At 34.6% G+C, this 27,658-nt stretch overlaps 1 protein-coding gene and 1 long non-coding RNA gene across 3 annotated transcripts in view; both read left to right on the forward strand.

Annotated features, from left to right (window-relative positions):
- The window catches only part of NHLRC2 (NHL repeat containing 2), a 62,534-nt gene that overhangs the window by 1,235 nt on the left and 33,641 nt on the right, over positions 1 to 27,658 (forward strand). For both annotated transcript variants that reach the window (NM_198514.4, XM_011539769.4), the window contains exons 2-4: positions 2,633 to 2,785; positions 20,626 to 21,081; positions 23,679 to 23,800. In NM_198514.4, the coding sequence (NP_940916.2) occupies positions 2,633 to 2,785; positions 20,626 to 21,081; positions 23,679 to 23,800 (731 nt within the window). The remainder of the gene's footprint in view (positions 1 to 2,632; positions 2,786 to 20,625; positions 21,082 to 23,678; positions 23,801 to 27,658) is intronic.
- Positions 2,792 to 7,745, forward strand: LOC124902506 (uncharacterized). The gene is made up of 2 exons (XR_007062295.1): positions 2,792 to 4,107; positions 7,390 to 7,745. It is a non-coding gene; the product is annotated as an uncharacterized LOC124902506 (long non-coding RNA).

Here is a 27,658-nt window from a genome sequence, read left to right on the forward strand (position 1 = left end):
CATTCCCCTTTCACAGTTGAGGAAATGGAAGCACAGAGAGGTTAAGTCACATGCCCAGGGCCTCACAGCTGATAACTGCCCCAGTTGGATTATACAGGCCCTGGATTTGCTGGTTTCTTAGCTGTACTGTGCTTCTCCGTTCAAAGTCGTGAAACTAATACTTTTAAAAATCGGAATCAATTATAGCCTATTTCCAGGGTTTAAATCCTGGCCATGTGAGCTTTTGGAGCATGAAGGAACAGATATTCCCGGCAGGGATGTTTGTGAAGCATATCTTGCCATGATAAATGAAAACGTATTTTACCTTCTTTGGATGGGAGTAGCATTGCTTTGCCTGATGGTGCTGGCATGTGTCCTGGCGTGACACTGAAACCACATGTATAGTTAATTGGTTGGATGTGGCAGAATTCAGTTATCTCATGGGAGGTATATCGGAACCTGCCTCCGACAACAGAGTATTGGTGTCTTTCCAAGTCTTTTGCACTACTCACCTTGAGAAGTGCTTATTTTTCCTGCTATTAATCTTATACTGGATTTGAAATATTGTGGAATTCTTACAAAAGAATTGGGTACATGAATGCTTATCCCATCAAACTTTAAAAGATTGTTTACATCTATACAAATATATGATTTTAAAAAGTTTTGGTGCAGAAGGTAGTTATATAGTAAGTACACTGTTATAAACAAGCAGGCCATCAACTGGGATTTGGGGAATGTTTTTTATTTTCTAGTCTTGTTTGTATTTACAGGGAGTGTATTTTATTCCCATGAGATTTGACCTCTGTGACTCATAACTAAAAAAACATATAATAAAATATTCAGGCTTTGTGTTTAACACAGTATGATTTTCTCCTGGACCCGATTATTGAGGACAGAATGCTAGAAATGACTGTTTTCTTGGTTTCTTTAGCAGTAAACTATAATCAGGAAGTCATAAACATAACTTTATTTGAAAAACTGTATGCTTTGTTCATTTCTTAGAAGACTTACATGTTTATAGGAGACAGTGCAGTGTAATGGATAGATTCACAGAGACCTGGAATTAGATCCTTGTTATTTCCATTTTGTTGGTTGTGTGATTTTGAGCAAGTTACTTGACCTCAAAGCCTTATATTTCTCACTTGCAAAACTGAACTATTATTTACCTTTCAGGATTATTATTTGTATTGAAAGTAATATATGTAAAATTCTTAATTCACAGAAAAGCTTACTAAATGTTAGCAGCTTTTTATTGTATTCATTGTAATTATTGTTATTGTAAAATAAATTTTATTAAGCCTGGTAAGTATCTAGCACGGTGACTAAGATGTAGTCATTCTTTCTATACCCCCTGATCTAAGCCACTCTTGACTATTTACAGAAAAGTCACAGAAGACAGATTAATAAATATTTTGCAAGTAGGATATGAAATATACATTAATTAGTCTGAAGTTTTGTATGATCACTTGATCTGGTATATAATTAATATTTTAACAAAATGGATAATTAAGAGGTCACTGTACCCTGAAACCTCATTAGTTTGGACTAATTGGCCCAAATACTAGTTTGATCTGCAGATTTTTTTTTCTAGAATTTTGTTATGATTGAGTAACAACAGTTATTGTTGTTAATCATTAGCTGTTACTGTTTACTTCTTCCTCCCAAGTTTGGCTTTCAGTTGCTAAAAGCTATTCTAAATACCTGCTTCAAGGCATAATTAATAGTTGTAATAGCTGCATTGAGTTATTTATAAGCAGTAAACTTTGTTTTCTTAAATTGGTTAAATAGGGATGCTGTACTTTATTATTAGTTAACAAAATCTTTCTTCATAGTACAGAGCTTTCTTTTTTTGGAGGAAAGGGAACACGTTCTTCATTAATATTAATGTTACCTCAATGAAATCTGTGACAATAATAAGTGTATTTTGCTTAACTTTACATTTAGCATATTTTATTTTGTATTTACGGTCTCATCCAAATCCAGAATATTTCAGTTTCTTCTCCTTTAGGAAACTGTTTTAGGCATTTTGTATGTTTATCCTTACACACATTTCACTCCTTTTTGATGTTTAGTTATATCTTACTATTCTTAAGCTTGACCTTTATTCTCAGTAGCCCATTTGTATCTAATTGTTTATGTAATTAGGTTCATTTACTATTTGATATTTCTTCCTTTTTTTTTTTTTTTGCCTAAGTGTGTTGCCTTTACTCCTTTTCACAGACTGTTACCCTATTTCTGAAAGAATTTAGTAGCTTTTTCTTGCTTTATTTGCAGATGGCATCATAATAGCAGCTTTCCCATCCTCTACTCCTCCTGCTCCCCCACCCGTACCCCCATCCCTTCCTTTTCTTTCTTCCCTTTTTGGGCTTTTAATCTCTGCTAATTTGCCTTTTTGGTATGTTCTTCCAAACCCAAATACCTGTTTAGTTACAGTCATAAAGATATATCTTTTATTTCTTTTGTTGATAGAAAATGATGGTTCATAGTAAACAACTATAAATACATGCAACTGCCACAGCCTTTATATGGTGCTACTCTCTCAAAGTGTTTATTTGCATTAGTCTTAAAAAAAAAGGTCACATTTTAATGGAAAGTTTTAGGTAAATTTTATCTTTCTCTTTAATCATTGTAATTTATTTTATGTAAATTTCAGGATTAGAATGGCTGAACACAGAAGAACCTATTTCTGTCTACAAGGATCTATGTGGAAAAATAGTCGTCCTTGATTTCTTCACCTACTGCTGCATAAACTGTATTCACCTATTGCCTGATCTCCATGCATTAGAACACACATACTCTGATAAAGGTATCTGCTCTTTAATTAGTTTCTAACAGACTGTCCTGGCATAGTCACTGGAAGAGTGGCTGACTCATTAGCTCATAGGAGAATGAACATTTGGCAAGGCTTCAGGGATTCTAAAAGTAATCTCTTATCTATGAATTAAAGACTTCATGTACCTTTTCATAAAGGATTAAGCTTAGTGATAGTGGTTTGCCTATCTAAAGAACCAGCATTTAGTATATGGTTTTTCTCTGCGGATAGGGGCATAATTTGCTATTTTTCATGATCAGATATTTTAAAAGGTCTTTTTGTATGTTGAGGCTGACTTAAATTTGTTCTATTAAAAAAATAAAATATCTGACCTTAATTTTACACTGTTTTCACTGTGATACAAAGGTTTAAAGTTCTTATTAGGAAATGTGACTAGGCTTTCATTAATATTGAATGACATGAACTGCAGTGGAATGCAAAATATAACAGATACTCTTTCTTTGACCCTGCTTCATTAAAAAATGATTTATTACAGCTAATGTTTTTCAAAGCACACTAGGAAATCCATTTTTATGGTATTACAAATTCTAAAGATGTAGGAGATTATACTTATTGGCTTTAGAAGTTTGAAAAATTAATCAAATTTTTTTTGTCTACTTTCTAAAAAAAGAACATGGGAGTAAATGAAATTAATTAAAAGTATCATTTAATTAGGTTCAAGTGAATTGAAGCACTAATCTTGGAGTGGATAAAAAAAAGAGATAGGGTCACCGATCCTGTGTTAGTAAAGATGAGAATAGACTATATACGTGTGAAAGTAAAGGATATTCTGAAACTTAACTTTAAAGGGGAAGTGATAGAGAAATCTTCAGTGCAACTGAAACTTCAGATGCTTTTGAATTGTAATACATTGTATGTTAAAATTACCAGTCAAATGATTTATCAAGAACTCAAATATTTCTACTAGCTAAATCCTGTTATTAAAAATTTATCTGTATGGATTTAAGAAATATGGATATCTTATCTCCTAGGTTTTAGATGCCAGTGTTTCTTGTTCAAGACATCACGTTTATTGAACATGTTGTTATGTGCAGGGTACTCTGCTAACTGCTGAGGAAATATGTAACAAAATTGAATAAAAAACATTATGGAACCTAAGGAAAGGAATAAGTCACTTTGCCTAGAAACATTGGAAAAGATTTCTCAGAGAAGGAGACAATTGAGCTAGAACTTGAAAAATAAGCAGGAGTGCAGCTGAAAATGAAAGTGGGGCAGAAGGGACACTCCTGGCTGAGGAAGCTTCAGGTAAACAAGCATGGAATCACAGAGGAGTAGGATTCTTGCTCCAAGAACAGGTAAATAATTTAGTGTGGCAAGATTGTAAGAGTTCATGGTAAAAGTAAAAGGAGACAAAGGTAGGTTAGGTTAGGAGCACATTGTGAAATGCATTGTATAGCGTTCTTAATAGTTTAGACTTTTCCTTCTGTGAGGATACAGAGATTGAAGTTTGTTTTTGATTTGTTTTTTTAGTAGACGGATGACATTTGTGTTTTAGAATGGCATTACACATGGAGTTAAGAATCTCAAAGTTTACCAGTTCCATACCTAAGATCACCCCTGAAAGACTATTTGGTGAACTCATGGTTAACCCCATACCTTAAGCAGATTCAGTGACTTCCTAGAATGGATCCTTATAATCTCCTACTAGTTTACTGGAAACATTGTTTTTATAGCACATTGTGACAAAAAAATTAAAAATATTTTTATATACAAATATGCTTCTGAAAAGCAAAATACTTTGTAAGTGGAGCAAGAATTCACTGTCAGTTTCAACAAAGAATCACAAAGCATACACAAAGAACAGGGAAGTACAGCCCATTCAAGAACAGGGAAGTACAGCCCATTCAAAGGAAAAAAATAAACCGATAGAAATTGTCTCTAAAAAATACCTGATACATATCTATGAGACAAAGACTTTAAAACACTGTCTTAAAGATGCCCAAATAACTAAAGGGAAATATGGAAAAAGTTTTAAAAAAACAATGTATGAAGAAAATGGAAATACAATAAAGAGAAAACCTAAATAGAAGCTAGAAAGAAATTCTGGAACTGAAAAGTGGACTAACAGTGAGGAGAAACTCACTACAGAGGCTCCTTGACTTATAGTGCAGCTGATAAACCCATGGTAAGTTGAAAATATCATGAAGTTGAGAAAGTATGTTTAATGCTTGGTAGCACAGCAGATGGTCCCTGACTTATGATGATTCGACTTAAAATATTTTGACTTGATGGTGGAAAGGTGATACTCAGTAGAAATCATAACTTTCTAAATCCTAAGGAGCTCTTTGACTTACAGTGAATTATGTCCAGATAAACTCATCGTAAAGTTGAAAAATTATAAGTCATACCCTCATAGGTCAGGGGCCATGTAGAGACTCGAAGACAGATTTGAGTAGGCAGAAAGAAGAATCAGTGAACCTGAAGATAAGGCAATGGAAATGATTAAGGAACAAACAGAACAGAGATTGAGGAAGAGAAAACAGAGCCTAAAGGACCTTGGAACACCATCAATCAGACCAGCATGTGCATTTTGGCAGAGAATATTTGAAGAAATAATGGTTGAAAACATCCCAAATTTGATGAAAAACATGAACACAAACATCTAAGAAGTTTAGTAAACTCCAAGTAGGATGAACTCAAAGAGAATCATGCCAAGACACATTATTATCAAACTGCCTAAAACCAAAGAGAGAATTTTGAAAGCAGGAGAGAAGCAACTCATCACATACAAGGAATCTTCAATAATCAGCTGATTTCTCATCAGAAACTTTGGAGGCCAGAAGGCAGTGGGCCAATATATTCAAAGTACTAAAGGAACAAAACTGTCAACCAAGAATTCTATGACTGGCAAACTGTCCTTCAAAGTGAGAGAGAAAGTAAGACATTTCCAGATAAATAAAAGCTAAGGGAGTTCATTAATAGACCTGTCCTGAAAGAAATGCTAAAGGAGTCCTTCAGGTTGAAATGAAAGGACACTAGACAATAATTCAAAGCCAGTGAAGAAATAAAGATCTCAGTAAAAGTAAATAATAGGCAAGTATAAAAACTAGTGTTACTGTAACATTGGTATTTAACTCCACTTTTTGTTTTCTACATGATTTAAGAGACTACTATATTTTTAAAATTATTCTAAAAGCTAATGTTATTGTAACATCACATTTTGTTTTCTATGTATTTTTTTTTTGAGACAGAGTCTTGCTCTATTCCCCAGGCTAGAGTGTAGTGGCGCATCTCGGCCTACTGCAACCTCTGCCTCCCAGGCTCAAGCAATTGTCCTGCCTCAGCCTCCCAAGTAGCTGGGATTACAGGTGCCTGCGACCACGCCCAGCTACTTTTTGTATTTTTTTTAGTAGAGACAGGTTTTACTATGTTGGCCAGGCTAGTCTTGAACTCCTGACCTCACATGATTCGCCCATCTCAGCCTCTCAAACTGCTGTATGGGATTAACGCCATGAGCCACCGAGCCCGGCCTATTTTCTATGTAATTTAAGAAACTAATGCATTAAAGTAATTATTAGTTTATATATTTGGAGATATAATGTACAAAGATGTAATTTGGGGCCATCAACAACTGAAAGGGATGGGATGGAGGTGTTAAAGGAGCAGAGTTTTTGTGTGTTATTGAAGCTGGCATAAATTCAAATTAGAGCGTAATAACTTTAAGATGTTAAATGTAATTCCTCTGGTTACCACAAAAAAAAAGAAAGAAAGAATATACACAAAATGAAATAAGAAAAGAATTTAAATGTTTCACTACAAAATAAAAATCAACTAAACAAAAAAAAAAACAGTAATGTAGAAAATGAGGGACAAAAAAGCTCTAAGGCATGTAGAAAACAAATAGCCAAATGACAGATAAGTCCCTCTTTGTCAATAATTACTTTAAATGTAAATGGATTAAGTCTTCTAATTGAAAGGCAGAAATTGGCAGAATGAATAAATAACATATTCCAACTATATGTTGTCTTCAAGAGACTCACTTTAGATCCAAAGATACAAACAGGTTAAAATTGAAAGGATGGAAAAGGATATTGTATGCAAATTGTAACTAAAAGAGAGCTGGGATGGCTATGCTAGTATCAGACAAAATGGACTTTAGATCTAAAAAGGTTACAAGAGACAAAGAAGGACATTATATACTAATAAAAAGCCCAAGCTGAGCACAGATTTCACCTGTAATCCCAGCTACTCAGGAGGCTGAGGCAGGAAGATCACTTGAGGCCAGGAGTTGGAGACCAGCCTGAGTAACATAGCAAGACCTCATTTATTAAAAAATAAATTAATACATAGATGATATGATTATAATGATAAAATGATTATAAACAGGCACTTAATAACAGACAAAATATATGAACAAAAATTGACAGAATTGAGGGGAGAAATAGACAATTCTACAATAGTAGTTGGAGAATTATACCCAATATATACAGGACACTCTCCCCAACAAGATAACACTACCCAACAACAACAGGATTGCGTATGGGACATTTTCCAGGATAGACCATTAGTTATGCCACAAGTTAATTTCAATAGATTTTTTTTAAAGATAAATATTAAAGTATCTTTTCTGATCACAGATGAAGTTAGAAAACAATAACCAAAGGAAAATTGGAAAATTCACAAATTTGTGGAAATCAAACAGCACACTCTTAAATAACCAGTGGACCAAAGAAGAAAACACATAGGTAATTATTAGAAAATACTTAGAGACGAATGAAAACACAATGTAACAAAACTTATGGCACATGGTGAAAACAGGGCTAAGGAAGAAATTTATGGTTATAAATGCTTATATTAAAAAACAAGAAATAACTTAAATCTAAGGTGTAATATCTTAGAATTTTACACCTTAAGAATCTAGAAAAAGAAAAACACAGTAAACCCAAAGCTAACCGAAGGAAGGAAATAAAGATTCAAGCAGGGAGAAACAAAATAGATAATAGAAAAGATCAATTTGGGTACAACCAACCAAAAGTTGGTTCTCTAAAAGTACCAGAAAAATTCCTAGACCTTTAGCTAGCTAGACTAAGAAAAAAGAAGACTCAAATTATTAAAATCAGGAATGAAAATGGGAACATTACTACTGATTCTACAGAAATAAAAAGGATTATAAGAGTACTATGAGCAATTGTACATTAACAAATTGGATAACCTAGATGAAGTAGACAAATTTCTGAAAACAAAACCTACTAAGACTAAACTATGAAGAAATAGAAAACCTGAATAGACCTATATCTGGTAGCATTATTCTCAATAGCCAAGATTTAGAAACAACCTAAGTGTCCATTGATGGATCGTGGGTGAGGAAAATGTGGTGTGTGCATACAGTGGAATGTTATTCAACCTTGGAAGGAAATTCTAACATGGATGAACTTTGAGGACATTATGTTAGGTGAAAAAAAATTCACAATTTATGCCACTTACAAAAATTCAAATACTACATAATTTCACTTACACAGGGTACTTAGAGTAATCTGAATCATAGAGACAGAAAGTAAAATGGTGGTTGCTAGTGACTAGCAAGAGGGGAGAATGTGGAGCTATTGTTTAATGGGTACATTTTCAGTTTTGCGAGATGAAATGAGTTCCGGAGATGGAGGATGGCAATGGTCGCACAGCAATAGGAATGTCCTAAATACCTTGAACTGTACACTTAACAAACGGTTAAAATAGTAAATCTTATGGAAGAAACTATAAGAACACAAAAATGAGCCAGGCGTGGTGTCTCACGCCTATAATCCCAGCACTTTGGGAGGCCAAGGCAGGCGGATCATGAGGTCAAGAGATGGAGACCATCCTGGCCAACATGGTGAAACCCTGTCTCTACTAGAAATACAAAAATTGCTGGGTGTGGTGGCGCGCCCCTGTAATCCCAACTACTAGGGAGGCTGAGGCAAGAGAATCGCTTGAACCCACGAGGCAGAGATTGCAGTGAGCTGAGATTGCGCCACTGAACTCTAGCCTTTCGACAGAGCAAGACTCCGTCTAAAAAAAAAAAAAAACCACACACACACACAAAAATGGGTTTTTAACAACTATTTTAAAAATGAACCTTACAAGGTCAGAATTGTGCACCACTGGGAGGGTTACACTCAGTGGTTTGTTGGAGCTGGCTCCTGTAGGCTGGTGAGAGCCATTTGTTAAATATGTAAGAAATTTTATGAGCCAGTGGTAATCTTGAAATCAGCCATAGTGGGAGTATTTAGACCATGGAAATCAACAAATGCTACAAATCAGAGGTTTTTTGGTTTTTTTTTTTTGAGACAGAGTCTTGCTCTGTCGCCCAGGCTGGAGTGCAATGGCGCCATCTCAGCTCACTGCAAGCTCCGCCTCCCGGGTTCAAGCGATTCTCCTACCTCAGCCTCCCGAGTAGCTGGGACTACAGGCGCTCCTCACCACGCCCAGCTAATTTTTTGTATTTTTAGTAGAGACAGGGTTTCACCGTGTTAGCCAGGATGGTCTCGATCTTCTGACCTCGTGATACGCCTGCCTCGGCCTCCCAAAGTGCTGGGATTACAGGTGTGAGCCACCGCGCCCGGCCACAAATGAGAGGTTTTTAAAAATCGCTTTTCATCCCCCCCCCCCGTTCCTCTCACCATATAATAGAGCTGGTTTATTAGCATATTACTGGGTATGATTTGCTGGCCCAATAACTCACTTGTTAATGTGGTGGAGAATACTGACTAGTGTTTTTCTGTATTTGGCTTAGAATATTGTTTGTGGAATATATTTCTTTTTTAGATTACCGTAGAACTTTTTCTTTAATTTGCCACAGGTTTGTGAAGAATATTGGAAAAAAGGAAAAGCACGAGAAATAGTTGAGAATGCCATTGTGATAAGTGTTCACAGAGGCTTTCTTTTCTTTTTTTTTTTTTTAATATAACTTCGACTTTTTTTTTTTTTTTTAGTTTAAGTTCTGGGATACATGTGCTGAACATGCAGGTTTGTTACATAGTGGAATAAATTTTTAACCATTAAAAAATATTTTGTAAGTAGTCTCAACATTGTATTTCAAAGAAACATTGCTTCTGTAATATGCTACTATGTGAAAATCCTGATAACTTAAAAGATTTTTATATTGATTAGAAGATAAGTTCAGTTCATATTCATAAAAGCAGACATAACCAGAAATGATCACATGGCAGCTCAATAAGCTGTCACTAAGTCACTAAATTGAATTTGCTTTTTTGTAGTTAAATATCTTCTCCCATTACTATTTGATGTACTTCTGAATGTATCTGCAGCAGTGCTATTTATGTTCTCGAAGTGACATTTGGCAGTATATTTAAAATTCCATGAAATGTTCTGCTCATTTTACCATAAAGCCAAAAATGCTCCACTGAATAAGGAAGTGTTTATTAATTCAAAACCTTGAAAGAGGCCCAATTTCATAATCAACTTGCTTCCTCTAAATCAGCTTTTAAATGCAGGTTTGTAATAGGGGCCAGTGCCACTTTCACAGTCGCAAATGAGAAATCGCAAATGCCAAGAAGTTTGAAAGCAAAAAGCAAAACCTACTTAATAGGAATGAATTGTTCTGATGTTTAAACATTTTTAAAGAAGCAACTATGCCCTAAGATTGTTATTAATTAATAATAACTTAGTACATATTTATGTTAAACTGCAAGTGATATTTTACCATTTTCTACTTGAGAACTTCTAAGTTTTTTATTTATGGTGTATACATTAATGGTATGTTATTATGTAGTACTGAAATTGAACATAATGGCTATTATCTAAGGAAAAGCACTTTTGTTTTATAAGAAAACTTCTATTAGGAAAGCCTTGTGTATTTTAATGTGATTGCTAGGTGTATGTTAATGTATAACTAAGTCAGACTTCTAAAAATCTGAATTTCTTATTACTATTGAGTAAATGCTAGTATTATCATATAGTATATGCTTTTTTCTGTTTTATACTTTATTAAAAATTAGAAGAATGCACTTTTAATTTTATAGTAAAATAAGCCTTTAAATAAGTCTATATATAATTTCACTTTGTGTCATTGTTCTCAAACCTCGCCTGCCCGCCTCCCCGCCTCCACCCCCGGCTCCTTCACCAGGTTTGATAGTTTTCATTAGGAGTACTCACAAGATTCAGCATATAATTGTACTCATGACTATATTATAGCAAAAAGATACCAAGCAGAATCAGGAAAGGGAAAAGATGCATGGGGCTGAGTTGAAGGGAGACCAGGTACAAGATTCTAGAGTCTTCTTTCAGTGGAGTCAACCCAAGGTGCTCTTAATTTCCTCAGCCATGTGTTGTGACAGCACATTTGGGATGTTGCCAACCAGAGAAGCTTAGAAATAACCAAGGCTTTTATTGGGGGCTGGTCATGTAGGCAGCTTCTGCCTGCTGTCATGTTTCAAAAGTTCAGATTCTCAGAAGGAAAGCAGGTATTCAGTATAAGCTGTATTGTTTGTACAAACATTTTAGGCAAAGTGAGCCACTCATCAGTTCTAGGAATGGTGAAAACCCTCCCGAAATCTAAGCTCCCAGAAGCCAGGCAAGAGCCAATCTTGTTTGCACACCTTTTAAAGGATAGCAGTCAGGGCTACTATGTTAACTCTTTCTGCACACACTTTATATTTTCTTTATTCAGTAGTTTGTCTATTTATTCTATGTTCTTAAATAAAGTACTATGAAAACATTGCCAATTTATGGCACATTTTCAGATGTTTAGTGTGGACAACAGCCTGATATCAGTGTTTGATTGGCTTTCAAATTTGCTTCTCATTTATTTCCCAATTTAGTGTTCAGCGATTTTGATCCTTTCATTTTTATGTTTCCATTGTTCTTAGTATAAAAACGAAAATTTTCCCTCTCCAGCATCTTTTCCACACCCTTCTCATCCTTCCTCAAGGCTGTTCTAGCCTCCCTGGCTTTCCTTCAGTTCCTAAGTATCATTGTTCCTCTTGCTTTAACACCTTGACACAGTGTTCCCTCTGCCTGGAATCATCGTCTCATCCTTTTTGTCTAGTGAAGCCATGGTTGTCTTCTGGATCTCAGAATGTCTCCATTACAGGTTTTTGTTTTTGTTTTTGTTTTTGTTTTTTTAGCATCTTTCGAAATGCCTCAAATAGTCTCAATCCTTGCATTTAACTAGGTTTTTACATTGCCTGTGATTAAACTACACGTTCTACTATAGTATATACAATTGTAATTGAGTGCATTTAGAAGTATACGTCTCTCAATAAGACTTTTGAAGCTTTAAAAATATGTATTTTAAAAAGTGGTTTTATTACTAATATTTTAGAAGCAGTTATATATTTATCATGTTTTTTGTTGGTTAGTCAGAGACAAGGTCTCACTCTGTTGCCTGGGCTGGATTTCACTGGTGCGATCACAGCTCACGGCAGCCACGACCTCCTGGGCTCAAGTGATCTGCCCGCCTCAGCCTCTCAAAGTGCTGGTATTACAAACAGCCTGAGCCACCATGTATGTGTGGTTTTTTTATTGGTGGTGATGGTGGTGTTTTACTTCACTGAGAAGAAGGAAGTTACAATTTTTGATATAGTTTCTCCTTCCCTCATTCCCTTCTTCCTTGCCCTCTTCTCTCCCTCTTTCCTGTCTCCCTCTCTTCTTTCCTTTCTTCTGTATTTTCTCTTAAATGGAGTAATTTTGATCCCTATGTTGGCAAAGGATTCATAAAGGGCAGAATCTTTTACATCCGCTTTTCAGTATGCATGATTAACAGAAAAAGCTAAATAATTTAAGAAAAATCTGCATATTGAGGTTCTTACAGAAACAAATGGGAGTGGATATTTGGCAATTGTGTTTGTACGTAGATCAATATAGATCTCCTATTTGGACAATATGATATGGTTTATTATACAGATTTATAAATTCCTTCAGTATTTATGTCCTGTGAAATCATTTGTTTCCTACTTACGTACTAGGCACTGGAGAATAATAAAACATGCATGGGACCTATGTAATTAGTAGGCATTATAGTCTAACAAAAGAAGGCATATAATTAAATAATCATACATATTTTTATAATTTCTGATTAGTGATCTATAGGAAAAATTACAGGCTGCTATGATGACATTATAGAGTTTAATCTGGAAGAAATCTTTCTTATGAAAGTAAAAATTGAACTTCTGTTCTAAAAGACAAGCGTGGCTTTAGTAGGTGAGAACAGATGAGAACATTCCAGTCAGAGGGAACACTGTATGCCAACCCTATAAAGCAAAAGGAATAATATTATTGAGGAACCAAAGGAAGTCCTAGAATATACTGCAGGAGGAAAAGAGTGTGGAGAAGATACTGGAGAGATGAGATTTGTTATACTAGGAACAATTGAAAGCCAATGAAGGATTTTCTGCAACAAGGTGACATGATCAGATTTGTGTTTTTAAAAGATCAGTGACTTCAGGATGGATAACTACTTGGTGGGCAAGAATGGATATGGGAAATCTGTGACAAGGCTGTTGTGCTCTCTGTGAATAGGATAACAACTTGAAACTAGTCATAGCTGATAAGAGCAATAGGACTTGATTGTGGATTAAGTATGGATGATGAGAGTGGGCTGATTGATTACTACAGAGATGTCCTAGACTGGTTTTTTGCTTCTATAATTGGATGGATGATGGTGCCATGCAGTGACAGGAAACACTGAAAAGGTCATATTTGGAGGAGAAGGTTATGAGTTTAGTTTGAAATATCTTTGAGACTTGCCCTTCATTCTCCATATAACTTCCCATTTTTCTTAGGATAAAGATATAAATCTTTACCATGACTTACAAGACTGATCCCATCTGTATGTTTGTTCTCATTTTGTCCCACGTTCTCCATTGTTCTCTGTGCCTAGTCACTTACCTTCTTCAGTTTCTTCTATCCTTCCTGCTTCCTCTTTGTAGGTGCTGTTGTCTCTCCCTGGAATCTCCTTCAGCGTTCTCTGCACCTAACACCTCATCATTCACATCTCACTTCAGTCATCACTTCTTCAAGGAAATGTTGGGATATATTTATCAGTAGGAAAATGTGTGATACATGATAACATACTTTATGATAAATATTACATATATATAATGTACATAAAATGTATACAGATTTAACTCATGGATTCTTATTTAAAATTCATTGGGTTATAAATAATTACTGTGATAATTTATTTTGGTATTCCAATGGTCCAAGATTTGACTAATAGGATCCCCTTCAGGCTGTCTTCTGTGATCTTTTGGTATTTCTTTGTCGTTTTTTGAGCCCTTCCTTACTAAATACACCAAAATATTTCCATATGTATCTTGTGTTTTTCCAGCCCAACCCTGAGTCAGCTATTTCTTTAAGGAGCTTTGATCCCTTTTAGTAGGGAATGGTATTGAGAAACCAAGGTCTGGGAACTAGATGTGCTCATTGCTACTATGGTGTTTTTGCTTCTAGTTTCTCAAATAATTCAGAAATTACTTAGGCTATTCCTTCCCACTTCTCAGCTTCCCCCATTAAATTATGTTATTCATCTAAAGTATCGTTAGATTTATTTTTTTCTATTTGTATTTCATTTTAAGTCCCCCCATCTTTGTTGACTTAGTTTTTGAGTGTGTAAGACAACATGGTCTTCAAAGTGAGGATGAAACAGATATTCATTCTATCCACCCATCCCTTCTAACTGTTCTTGCCTTCCCATTTCTGTCCTATATTTTTTAAAATTTCCTTTTTTTTAAAACAAAAGGTGACATACTGTAGACATTTTTATACACTCGCTTTTTTCATGTAAAATTTTATCCCAGGAGTCACTTCATAACAGTTCATAGAGAACTTCTTGACTTTTAAAAATAACTGCATAGTACTCCGCTATATGTGTGCCATAACTCATTCAGCCACTCTCCTATCCTGTGTGTTGGCTCTTAGATCATTCCATATTTAGCAATTATAAGCAATAAATAATCTTGTAGATATGCTTTTGTCTTGCTGGTGGAATCACTTAAGGATAAATTCCTAAAAGTGGCATTGCTGGGTCAAAGTTAAGTACATATGTAGTTTCGTTAGGTATTGCCTAGTTCTTCATCAGGAAAGTTGTACCAGTTTGTATTTCTGCTAGCAGTGTGTGAGTGTACCTCTTTCTCAGATGCTGCTTCAATAAACTGTCTTGACATACTTTTTAATTTTTACCAATCTAATAGATAGGAAGTGGTATCTTGGTGTAATTTTAAGATGTATTTTTGAGTTGGGTTAATCTTATGTTTATATGGCTATTTATTGTATATGAAGTTTTGTCTGCCATTATATCCCCTAACTGGTTATTGTTTGAGTATATAAAGGCTACTGATTTCCATGTGTTAATTATTCTTGCTTCCTGCATCTTTTTTTTTTTTTTTTTTTTTTTTTTGAGACGGAGTTTTGTTCTTATTGCCCAGGCTAGAGTACAGTGGCGTGATCTCGGTTCACCGCAACGTTTGCCTCTCAGGTTCAAGCAATTCTCCTGCCTCAGCCTCCCAAGTAGCTGGGATTACGTGGATGTGCCACCACGCCCGGCTAATTTTGTATTTTTAGTAGAGACAGAGTTTCTCCATGTTGGTCAGGCTGGTCTTGGCCTCCCGACCTCAGGTGATCAGCCAGCCTCGGCCTCCCAAAGTGTTGGGATTACAGGCGTGAGCCACTGCACCTGGCCCTGAATCTTTTATTATTTGACTTAGTTTTATAATTGAGTCTCTGGACTTTTCTTGATATACTGTTATAGCTCCATATAGAAATTTTTCAGTCTTATGCCTCTAATTGATTTCACTTGTCTAATTATGTTGGCTAATCCCCCACGCCCCACCTCAATTTATTGTTAAACAATAGTAGAGATGGTAGGCATTTTTTTCCTTATTCTTTATCGTATTGGAAGTACTTCTGTTTTTATACTACTGGAAATACTTCTATTTTATACTGTACTTCTGTTTTTATACCAGTTTCTGGTTTTATACTTAGTTTATTTAATCAACTAACAAAGTATGAAAGATTAGTGTAAGTAATTATATGTCAATAAACCTAATGATTAAAAAGAATCTATCTGTGCTACTTCTGGGTTTGGAGGAGGATGGTGGCTACCTGATCTTGAATCTCCCCACTGTCCCTCCCCTCTGTTCCAAACAATAAAAAAGGGGAGAACAAGTAAAATCTCACTTGGCCCTGCATTTCACAATACTAGGAGACAGAGAATATCATGGCCTTGACATTAGATGGAAGTTCAGAAATAAACTAAATTCCCATAAAGGTTCTATTGCTGTAAGTCTGTGGATGCCAAGAACAAGTGTAGGGGAGACTTAAAAGACTCCATGAGAACAAGCAGAGTGGTTCAGAGTATTTAGACAACGCACAAACAGAATAGTCTCCTTACCCCCAGAAAGAGAAGCTCCAATACAAAGTATAAAATACTGAACACAGGTTTGGACATACTAGACCATATCACCAGCTCTTACAAGAGTGCAGGACAAGGAATTGAAGCCTCAGAGAAGCATTGCTCCTGGGAGATAATCAGCTATATAAGAAAGATGTGGTTTCCCTTGGAGATAGGCCACTGAAGGGAAAAAAGCGTATATGAAGGAAAAGGTAAGGTTCTAATGGAAACAAAAGAGAAAGAAGATATATCAACCCCTCCTTACACCAATGCTATTCATCAATGAAACTGCCCAGAAAAAGGGAACTGTCAGAAGAGGGCACTCTCAAACTAGGAACCCTATTCGCAAAATGAACAGGAATAGAAAAAAGCAGATCACATCTATATAAAAACTACTGCAAAAGAAGCTGAAAATGCAATTCAGAGTTAAAATGCTGATACAAAATTGACAAAACTGTAACACCTTGCTTCATACTGGATTAAATATCCTTAGTCAGCATTTAGGAATAATGAAAAAAAAACAGCTTGAATCAGAAATTTCAAAATAAGAAATGGACAAAAAAGAAACAGGGAAATGAGTGTTAATTGAATCCAGAAAAGAGAAGACAAATTCAAAATTGTATTACAAATGAAAACTAAATTTGACCAAGGGACAATAAATTTGTATAAAAATTTATTAAGGGGCATTAAAAGCAGGGAGGGAAACCCCAGAGAATGAAAATGAGCTAAAAAAAAAAAAAAAGTTAAAAGGTTTAGAGAAAAAAATGATTGAATTGGAAAACAGGCAGAGGAGGTCCAACATAAGACTACTTGGAGACCTTCAAGAAAATCAGAACAGCTGACTGGAACAAATATCTAAAATTAGAATCCAAGAAAACTTTCTGGAAAGAAAAGAAACCTTGAATCTACATATTGAAAGGGCCTACCAGGTACCGGGGGTGATTGACCCAGAACAGTCCAAGAAGTATCCTAGTAAAATTATTATACTTTAAACATTGAAAAACAAAGAACGTAACTTACAAAGACATGTAAGTTAGACTGGCCATGCTTTTCACAAATAACGTACAAAGCAAGGCAACAGTAGAGTGACATTTCAGGAATCTTAATGAGTGTAAACCATAAACCAAAGAGATTATATCCAACCATTTGTCCTTCAAGAATCAATCAAGGTTAAAGAAAAACAGTTTGAATGTCCCAAAACTCAGAGAATACTGTGCACATGTGCCCTTTCTGGTGAATCTACTATAGGGAGAGCTAGAGAACCATGGGTGAGTAGGGAAACTGCTAATGGATGGATGGAGATTTTATACATGTAGAGCTAACACCAAAACTAAGATGTAGAGTTTTGGTATATTAGTCATAGTTTGATCAGAGAAGCACAACTGGGTATAATAATGAGAGAACTAATAGAGAATTCATTATAGGTAGTTGACCTTATGTTATTGTGGAGCTACATGGCTAACTAGTATATGTGAGGCTGTTGCTTTTGTGTGCTCCTGCAACCTACCTAAGTTTACTAACTTTTCACAGTCTTCAAGCAGAGGTGTGTGTGCGTATGTTCTTGTGCTTTGGTTTGGAATTAAAGTTGTAATTACTGGCAAATTATATCTCCTGATGGCAGGTCAGGCAGTTGAGAAGGAAAGATGGATATAAAGTAGCAGAGAACAAGGGCAAACCAGAAAGAACGTGCAAACATGAACTAGAACTTGCAAGGATAAACTGAAACCCATGTAAGCTTTAGTTTAGATGATGAAGTGGAGCAAAACACTCATCTGGCCCAGAAATTAGAGACGCGGAAGGAGGAGATCTACAACCCTTATATTCTTATTGCTTTCATTTGCCTTGCATATCTTTTTCTACCCCTTTACTTTTAGTCTTTCTGATTCACATTTTCTTAGATGTATCTTTTATGTAAAGAACTTATCCAAATCTTTTTCTTTTAATAATGAGTTAAGCCCATTGGTACTTATTCATATGACTGGTAATGTACAAGTATTATGTGTATTTGGTTATATTTGTTGTGTTTATCAACATGATGCACTTTCTTTGCTGTTTTATTTTCATAATCTCTTCTGATATTTATAAATGTTTACATTTATCTTTTATTAATCTTTGTACTTACAACTTTAAAAAATAATTATAGCAAAATTTGTTGAAATTTTACTCTACACTAGGTACTATGCTAAATGCCTTACACAGATTATCTCTTTTAATCCACCTGACTTATAAGGCATTTGCTGTTATTTTCCTCGTTTTGCAAATGAGAAAACAGATGAACAGGTTAAGTAACTTGCCCAAGGTAACAGGTGTGCAGTCCTTCCCACTCCTCCCCACCACCTTTACCCACATCCCCCAGGCAACCATTCCTCATTGCATCTTTTTTCCCAGCTGCTTTCAAGGCATGTGTTTGTGTGTGTGTGTGTGTGTGTGTGTGTGTGTGTGTGTGTGTGTGTGTGTGTGTTTAGCCTTTGATTTTCAGCAGTTTGTTTATGATGTGTCTAGACATGGTTTTAATGTATTTTATTTTGTGTGTGTTGAGCTTGAATTCTCTAAATTTATATATTTAATCAAATTTTGAAAGTTGGGACATTACTCAGTTATTTTTTTCTGCCCCAATCTTATTTATTCACTTTTTCTGGGATTCCAGTATACTTATTTAGATATTTTGAAACTGTTCCACAGGTCCCTGAGGTTCTGTTTATTTTTTTTCAATCTTCTTTCTCTCTTTATGTTCTTTAGATTGGATTAATTTCTGTTGAGCTGTCTTCAGGTTCATTAACCTTTTCTTTGTCATGTCCTTTTTGCCAATGAGATCATCCAGTGAACTTGTGGTATTTTTCAGTTCTAACATTTTTAGTTACTTTTTATAATTTCCATTTCTCTGTTTTTATTTCCTGTCTTTTTACTTCATTTGTGTTTTTCTTTACCTCATGGAGCATAGTTATCTAGTTGCTTGAAAGTCTTTGGTAAGTCGAACATCTGCTTTATCTTGGCATCGGTATCTGTTGCTTGTTTTTTTTGCCCCCTACCTTGATAACTGACCATATTTCCTTGTTCTTTTCTTTGAATATCAGGTAATTTTTTATTGTATCCTGGACGTTGGAATGTGACGATATGTGAACTCTGGGTTCTGTTATAGTCCTGTAGGGAACATTGGTAGCCTTATTTTAGTAGGCATCAACCCTCTTAATTCAAATTATAACTTCTGTCTCATCTTCCATCAGCTCTCGCTCCTTCTGTAAACCCAGTTATTCAGTTATCAGCTCCCCAAGCATTTGCTACACTTTTTAAAATCTGTTCCCTGTACTGTAGTTTAGGGGTTAAACAAAGACTTCTGAGTGTTCATACTCAGAAATAAGGAGCCACCTTCCCCAGCTGTTCTCCTCAGGGTTTCTCCCACACTGTCCAGGTTATGTGGTTTCTTGGGCTAGAGTTGCAGTGGGATTTCTGTTGGAGTTTTGGCTCTCCATACAGCTCCAAAACTGGAACCCACTCTCAGGACAAAGCTAGGAAAAGGATTGGAAAAGAAAATAAAATTGGCAGCTCACTCTTCTGTCATTTGATCTTCTGTCATTTGCTTTTCTGAGTTTTGGCCCTGCTGTACAATCTATCTGGTCGGGTTTACTTTTCTCCATCTTCAAGCAGGGTGTGTCTTCAAGCATGCATGTCTGTGTTTTGATTCGGAATTGATAGTTATAATAGAAGCATGAGCTGCTGGGAAATTATACCTCCTGATTTGTGTGGTTTTATTTGTTCATCTTGCAGGTTTGAGTAGTTTTTGGTGGATGTGTTGGGAGATTTGAATGTTACTTAGCTGTTATTATCTCTACTACTTTGGTAGTCAATATTGAATTTTTTCACTGAATCCAGCCAAACACTTTTTTTTTTTTTTTGGTACTAATTTCTTGAAATAATGTATTGATTAGATAAGAGAAGTATGTTTTCAGCAGTTCTGTCTACAGAAAGGCTTGTTCTAAGAACCATACAATAGGAATTTTAAATAAATCAAAAGCCTTATATTATGGAAACATCTTGCTTATATTTATTCTGTTAATCTGTAATGTAAAGTTAGATTAAAAAAAAAAAGACAGTGATACAACAATAAATACCTCCCAAAAGCAGGCATAGTCAACTCTGAATTTCAAAGGGGCTTATTATAGGTGGAAAAAATTTCAACATTTATTAAAAAAATAAAGATAATTTTTATAGCATTATCTAAATAAAAGAAAAAAAGTTTTAATCCTGCAATAGCCATATGAATTTGATCATGTGTGTTTTTATGTAGTAATCAAGATTGTTATGAGATTTAAATTTGTTAGTTTTTTATGTGTGTTAAAATGCAGTTGAAGATCCCAGCGTAGTTCTACTTTTCGTTTTTTTTTAATCTATGGACTTTTAATATTTGTGATCCAAAACCTAATGTGTAGATGATGATATTCAAACTTAAATATTTAATAATGTTTAACATATAATTTTTTCCTTTCAGATGGTCTTCTTATTATTGGTGTTCACTCGGCTAAGTTTCCAAATGAAAAAGTCCTGGATAACATTAAGAGTGCTGTTCTTCGATACAACATCACCCACCCTATGGTTAATGATGCAGATGCCAGCCTTTGGCAAGAACTAGAAGTTTCCTGCTGGCCAACTCTAGTCATACTTGGACCTCGTGGAAACATGTTGTTTTCTTTGATTGGAGAGGGACACAAAGATAAATTATTTTTATATACTTCAATTGCTTTAAAGTATTACAAAGACAGGGGGCAGATCAGAGATAATAAAATTGGAATAAAACTCTATAAAGATTCTTTGCCACCTTCACCATTGCTATTTCCTGGCAAAGTAACAGTAGACCAAGTTACTGATAGATTGGTAATAGCAGACACTGGACATCATAGAATTTTGGTCGTTTGGAAGAATGGACAAATTCAATATAGCATTGGAGGTAAAACTTGCTTCTGATTACGATAGATAACGTGTTTTACAGTAAAAAAATAGTTCAAGGTAAATATAAAAGTTGAAATGTCTAAATGAAAACTAATTATAGAAAAGTGATATACATTGACTTAATTTCCTAATAAAAATTTTTTGTTAATTAATATGATGTCTGAATTAACCTCTTCTCACTCCCTCATAAAACAAACAAAAACACTGAAAAAGCTCCAGGTCAAAAAGAGGAAATAGTTCAGCTTTTAGGTATATTTGTATATTCTATCTTTTTTTTTTTTTTTAAACTGCTGTACTTACTGTTTCTTATGAAAACATACGTTTTGGATTTCAGATGTTTTAAGTAGAAGTATTATGTTTCACTTTCCAACAAAATATAGCCGTATCTTTTTAAAGATCATGTCAGTGCCCCATGAACTTGAGATGTAGTTTATAAAATAAATAAGCTAGAATTTGTGCATAGTTTTACTTTTCTCTCCTTTCTTCCATAAGAACTTGAACATGTTTCTGGATCTATTTCCAGAATAGAAATAGGTGTAGCAGAGTATGAGTATCATGCAAGCGTAGATCATTTTGTTCTATATCTCCCTGGTCTTAGATCTAAAACTACCTCTTGGTTACATCTACATAATTAATAAACTCTACTGAGTACATTCTTATTAATCTTTCTTATCTAAACTGAGCTGACATTTGACAGCATGTTAGTCAAAGACAAAAGTAATTCATTTCTTTGCAATCCTGCTTTAGTAATATATGCAGCATTAGTACATAAAGTAGAAATGTCTGTGTTCCTAATATAAAAAAGCTAGTTGTGGTCCTATGCCCTGATGTTATTCTTAATATACCAAGATACAGTATGTGTTGTGTTTTGTGGTGTTTGTTTTGTTTTGGCTACTTGGTATTTTGATTTATGACAGGCAGTTACGAGAATTGAATTGTTACTCAAAAAGTGTCTTTTGTAGCAGTTTGAATTTAAGTGGTTTTAAAAGTTAATAGATTCTGTGATTTTCAAAATAGTGTAGGTGAATATTCTTTGTTAAAAGAGAAACCAGCAGCAAGCTACACTACCCAAACATAGTTCTAGAAATACTGTTATCTTTTGATACAGTTATTCTTTAATTTTTAAAAAAGAATTCTTTGGTCAGATACACTCAGGAAACACTTTTAATGTTATCAGATTTTTATTGGTGATGGTATCATAATATTTCCCAAATTTTTTACTCTCCTAATTTTCCTTATGGGGGGGTATAGTACACAATATTTTCCAATCTCATGTAACCACAGAACTCTCCCTTTTTTTTCAGGGAACTCTTATCAATATCAACACAATAATAGTATTATTAACAATTGTAGGTACAGTAGACACTATATGTCTGGCATTATTCAAAACATTTTACTTGTATGAACTCATTTTTGCCTGCACAATGCTATGAGTTAGGTAATTAGTTCCATTTTACAGAAGTAAAACTGAGACACAAAGAACTTTCCCAAATCACCAGCTAGAAAGAGACAGACTTGGGATTTAGACAAGGTCTATTGGGCTCTTGAGTTGGTTTTCTTTTTTTTAAAGATGGAGTCTCACTCTGTTGCCCAGGCTGGAGTGCAGTGGCATGATCTCAGCTCACTGCAGCCTCCACCTCCTGGGTTCAAGCAATTCTCCTGCCTCAGCCTTCCAAGTAGCTGGGATTACAGGTGCCTACCACCATGCCTGGCTAATTTTTTGTATTTTTAATAGAGATGGGGTTTCATTGTTTTGGCTAGGCTGGTCTTGAACCCTTGACCTCAAGTGATCTGCCTGCCTCGGCCTCCCAAAGTGCTGAGATTACAGACGTGAGCCACTGTGCCAGGCCTTGGGTTTGTTTTCTAGCCACTCTGTTACACTACCTTTTTATGGTTGCCTAGGACAATGGAGTTCCACAAAGCAGTTTGAACTGCTGATTTAGAGGCCTTGAATGGCTTGTCTGCTGGCCATGGAAATAATAGTTACATTTTATTGTGTTATATTCTCCACCCTTGAAACTCTACATGAATTGTAAAAACTGAGAGGTGGACTAGAATCACTCTCTCTTACAGTGTGTATGATATATCGCAGGACTTTCTGACAAAGTGAAATAGTAGATAAGAAGGATTCTTAATCTGGGGTCCTTGGACTCCTGAGAGTCTTCAGTGGTCCTCAGGATCTGGGATTGTTTACAACAATTTGGCCATGTGTATTTTTCTAGGGAAAGGGCTCATAATTTTCATTGTATTATCCAAGGAGCATATCTTTCAAAATTGTTAAAAATTATTCATCTGTTGAACAATTGGAGTTATTTTTAAATCTTTGTAGTCTAGGTAATGGATAATTAGAATGCTTTTAAAATTATTTTCTTCGCTATATACTACTATGCTTAAGTGCACTAGTAATTGTACTATGAGCCCTGTCATTAGCAAAACTCACTCTTAAGAAAAATGTTCCTTGGGGAACATTTTAGTTTTTAGATGGACATACCATTTTTTTATATTAAAATCCCAGCATTAAATACAAGTTTGTTTTGTTTTGTTTTGTTTTACCTTGAGATCACTTCTTAAGTGGCAAATTTTATCTTATTTTAGGACCCAACCCTGGAAGAAAAGATGGAATATTTTCAGAATCAACTTTTAATTCTCCACAGGGTGTAGCCATAATGAATAATATCATATATGTGGCAGACACTGAAAACCACCTTATAAGAAAGGTAATTTTCATTTTAAATTTGTTTTAATACTTACAATCAGAAAAAGGAAATGTATTTGCTACATTAAATATTTGAAGTTAAAGCGTGATTCTTATGTATGTCAATGTCCTTGTTCTGCTTTTCTTGAGGTACGTACTTTAGTTTTATTCTCAAGTATCCTGTTTCTATTTGTGTCAGTATGTATTTGTCACAAAAGAAAACCCCATTCAGTTCTTTTTTTAACCCTTGTTTCAAGGCTGTGTCCCTAATCACTCAAAAGCTCCTCATTTTGAAGTATCTTCCTAACCACTAGTTTACAATGATCCTTTGTCCTTTTTCAGTTGAATTTTCTCAAACTAGAAAAAAAATCCTACCATTCCTGCTTCTATTCAACTTTTATGCTTTGGCTGGAAATACTGATTAGCCAATTCGTCTTAAAACTTGTTTGATTTTATTATGTGTCCTTATTTCTAAAAAGTCAGCTAATACATAAAGGTAAAAAAAAGTCCCCTGACCATCAATTCCAGTTTCCCAGAGGTAACCATCCACTGTTAAAGTGTGTGTCTTTTTGGAAATTTTCTACTCTTATAAAAATAAATTGATATTAAAAAGCCTTTTTGTAGAGAATTTTTTAAACAAATGTAATGATGCTATGCATACATAATGTTTTGCAGGTTTTTCTAACTTTTTTTTTTTGCATGTTAGTCACCTGAATGATATGACTGTATCACATTCCATTGTAGATGTACTCGGTTATTTCAGACATTTCCTCCTGATGGTTGTTTTGGCTAAACCATTGGTCTTTAAGTTGCCATGTGTTTGGAAAATAAGTAACCAAGTTCATCATACTCATCCTGTCTAAATACATTGTTTCAGATACTGCCTTGTTTTTCTCACTGTTTCTTTCAGTATTGACATTTATTCTCATTTATTTGACAATATTTTCACTTATATACACATAGTAGAAAAAAATACATATAATATATAATAATATCCACTGTACTGTAAGTCTTCCTGAGGGCTAGAAATATGTTTTGTCTACTACTGAATCCTAGCACCTAGAAAAGACCTGGCCTATGGTAGGTGTTCAACAGATATTTGTTGGATGAATTTATGAGCAAATAATACTGTTTCAGGAAGCACTTTTGAAAGTGTGTATTCCTCAATATAAAAGTGTTACATGAAAAACAGATTTTGTGGGTTAATACATTAAAGCAGATGTGTTTTTTAAAGTCTTGCAGACTTTCTTCCAGACTTAAATATGCTAATGTATTGTTGAGTGCATTAATGGGGGGATATCTGTGCAGCATTTCTAAACTTATTTGACCAGAGAGCCCTTTATAGGCAGAGCTGCTTATAGGACTGTTTCCATGGTGTATATTTTAGGGAAAAGTGGTTTTTTAAATTACTAAATTCTTAATGATTAATATTTCTTTATCATTATCTTTTTGGGGTTGTATGTGTCTATAATTCGTCAGAGGGGCTAGACCTCTAATGGTGTATTGAATTAGTAAAATAGCCAGCCTGCAACATTCAGGGAGTACTTGTCCTTCTTTTTTAATTGTATGTCATTTCTCTTGCTTTACAACTTAATGGGTTTTCGAGTATTGACCATGTGCTCCATTTCAAATATTTATGCATTTAAGTATAATCACAACAAATTTAGGTTACCTGAAATTGTTTTATATTCTGTGACTTAATATGGTGTCTGCAGAAATGGAAAGTGGAATTTTTTCCTTTTAAAAATACAAGAATATTTATTGTGTTTTATTTTTGTTTAAGACCTCATTTGCAGAGGATTGAATTGATTATATTCTCATTCATGGCTCACGAACATTGTTTCATGCAGACCCTTCTCATTTAGAATAATTTATTTAAATTATAAATTCTCCTACTTCCCCATACCCCCAACTCTCACTCCCCTTACATTAGCATACCTATAAGCAGCCATTGTGATACGTTTAATGCATGTTTTTATTTGTATGTGATCTTGTAAGTGTTCTGTGTATATTTTTTAGTTACTTTATTGTGCTATATTTTATGTATCATAAAGTTAACCCATTGCAAATCTATAATTCACTAGTTTTTAGTAAATTTAACAGGTTTTGCAACTGTAACCATACGTTGTTTTTAAAACATTTCATCCCCCAAGTAAGAACCCACATGACCACTTACAGATAGTCCCTGTCCCCTCCCATCCCTAGGCAACTGTTAATTTACTTTCTGTCTCTATAAATTTGCCTTTTCCAAACATTTTATTAAATAGAATTATATATATTTTCTTGTATTTGGCTTCTTTCATTTCACATAATGAAAAGTTCATGTGTGAAGTAGCATTTCAGTAGTTCATTCCTTTGTATTGCTGGATAGTATTCTGTTGTGTGAATATATGACATTTTATCTACCAATTCACCATTGATATTTAGATTGTGTTTTGGCTATTTTGTATATTTTGTTATTTTGGGCTGTTATGAATAATCTTGCTGTGAGCATTGATACACAGGTTTTACATGGACATACATTTTTATTTGGCATGGGTAGATACCTAGAATTGGTATTGTAGAGTTATATGTTTTATGTTTAATTTTTTGAGAGCTGCTGAATTATTTTCCATAGCAATTGCACCATCTTACCTTCCCACTCGAAATATATGTGGGTTCCAATTTTCTACATGTTCACCGTCACTTGTTATTTTTCATTTTTTAAAAATTCTAGCCATCCTACTGGATATGAAGTGGCATCTCATTGTGGTTTTGATATGCATTTCCCTTATGACTAATGATGTCAACCACCTTTTCCTGTGCTTATGGGCCATTTTTATATCTTTGAGAAGTGTCAGTATTCTTTGCCAAATTTTTAATTGGGTTGTCTTTTCTATAATACAGTTGTAAGAATCCTTTGTATATTCTAGGTACAAGTTCTTTATCAGATATATGATTTACAAATGATTTTTCACATTTTTCTGCTTGCCTTTATACTTAGTTAATCATGTTCTTTGATACATTGAAGTTTTAAATTTTGATGATGACTGATTTGTCCATTTTTTCCTTTTGTTGCTTATGTTTTTGTTGTTGTAAGAATCCATTGCTAAATCCAAGGTCATAATTATTTACCCCTGTGTTTTATTCTAAAAGTCTTTTAGTTATGGCTCTTATAATTAGGTCTTTGATCCATTTTGAGTTGATTTTTGTATATGGTGTGAAGTAGGGGTTCAACTTCATTCTTTTACATGTGGATATACAGTTACCCCAGAAACATTTGTCCAAAAGACTGTTCTTTCTCCCTTGAATAGCTGTAGCAGCCTTGTTAAAAATTAGTTGATCATAGATGTATGGACCCATTGATCTCTCTGTCTGTCTTTATGCCAGTACCTTACTGTTTTGATTGCTGTAGCTTTTAATAATGTTTGAAATTGGGAAGTATAAGTCCTCCCACTTTCTTCTTTTTCAAGATTATTTTGGCTATCCTAGGTCCCTTGCAATTTGATAAGAATTTTAGGACCAGCTTGTCCATTTCTGCCAAAATCTTTTGATTGTTTCTTATGTAAACATATTGTCTCCAAAAACAAATTCCCTTTTGATTTTTAAACTTCCTGTTTCCTTTTATTATATTGCTGGCTAGTACCTCTCTTGCTTTTAAGCATTAGCAATGATGGTGGGTATCTTGTCATGCTTATAATCTTAAAGGGAATACATGTACATTTTCTCCAGAAGTTTAATATTTGCTGTAGCTTTGAGGAATAAGATATCTATGAAGTAAGGAAAATTTCTGTCTATTGATAGCTGGATAAAATGTGCAATAAAGCAATTAAGTGAAATATTGAATATCATCTCAGTGGTAGGTATATGGATGTTTGTTACAAAAATTTTTTAACTTTCC

Source organism: Homo sapiens, chromosome 10, assembly GCF_000001405.40.
Source record: "Homo sapiens chromosome 10, GRCh38.p14 Primary Assembly".
NCBI lineage: Eukaryota > Metazoa > Chordata > Mammalia > Primates > Hominidae > Homo > Homo sapiens.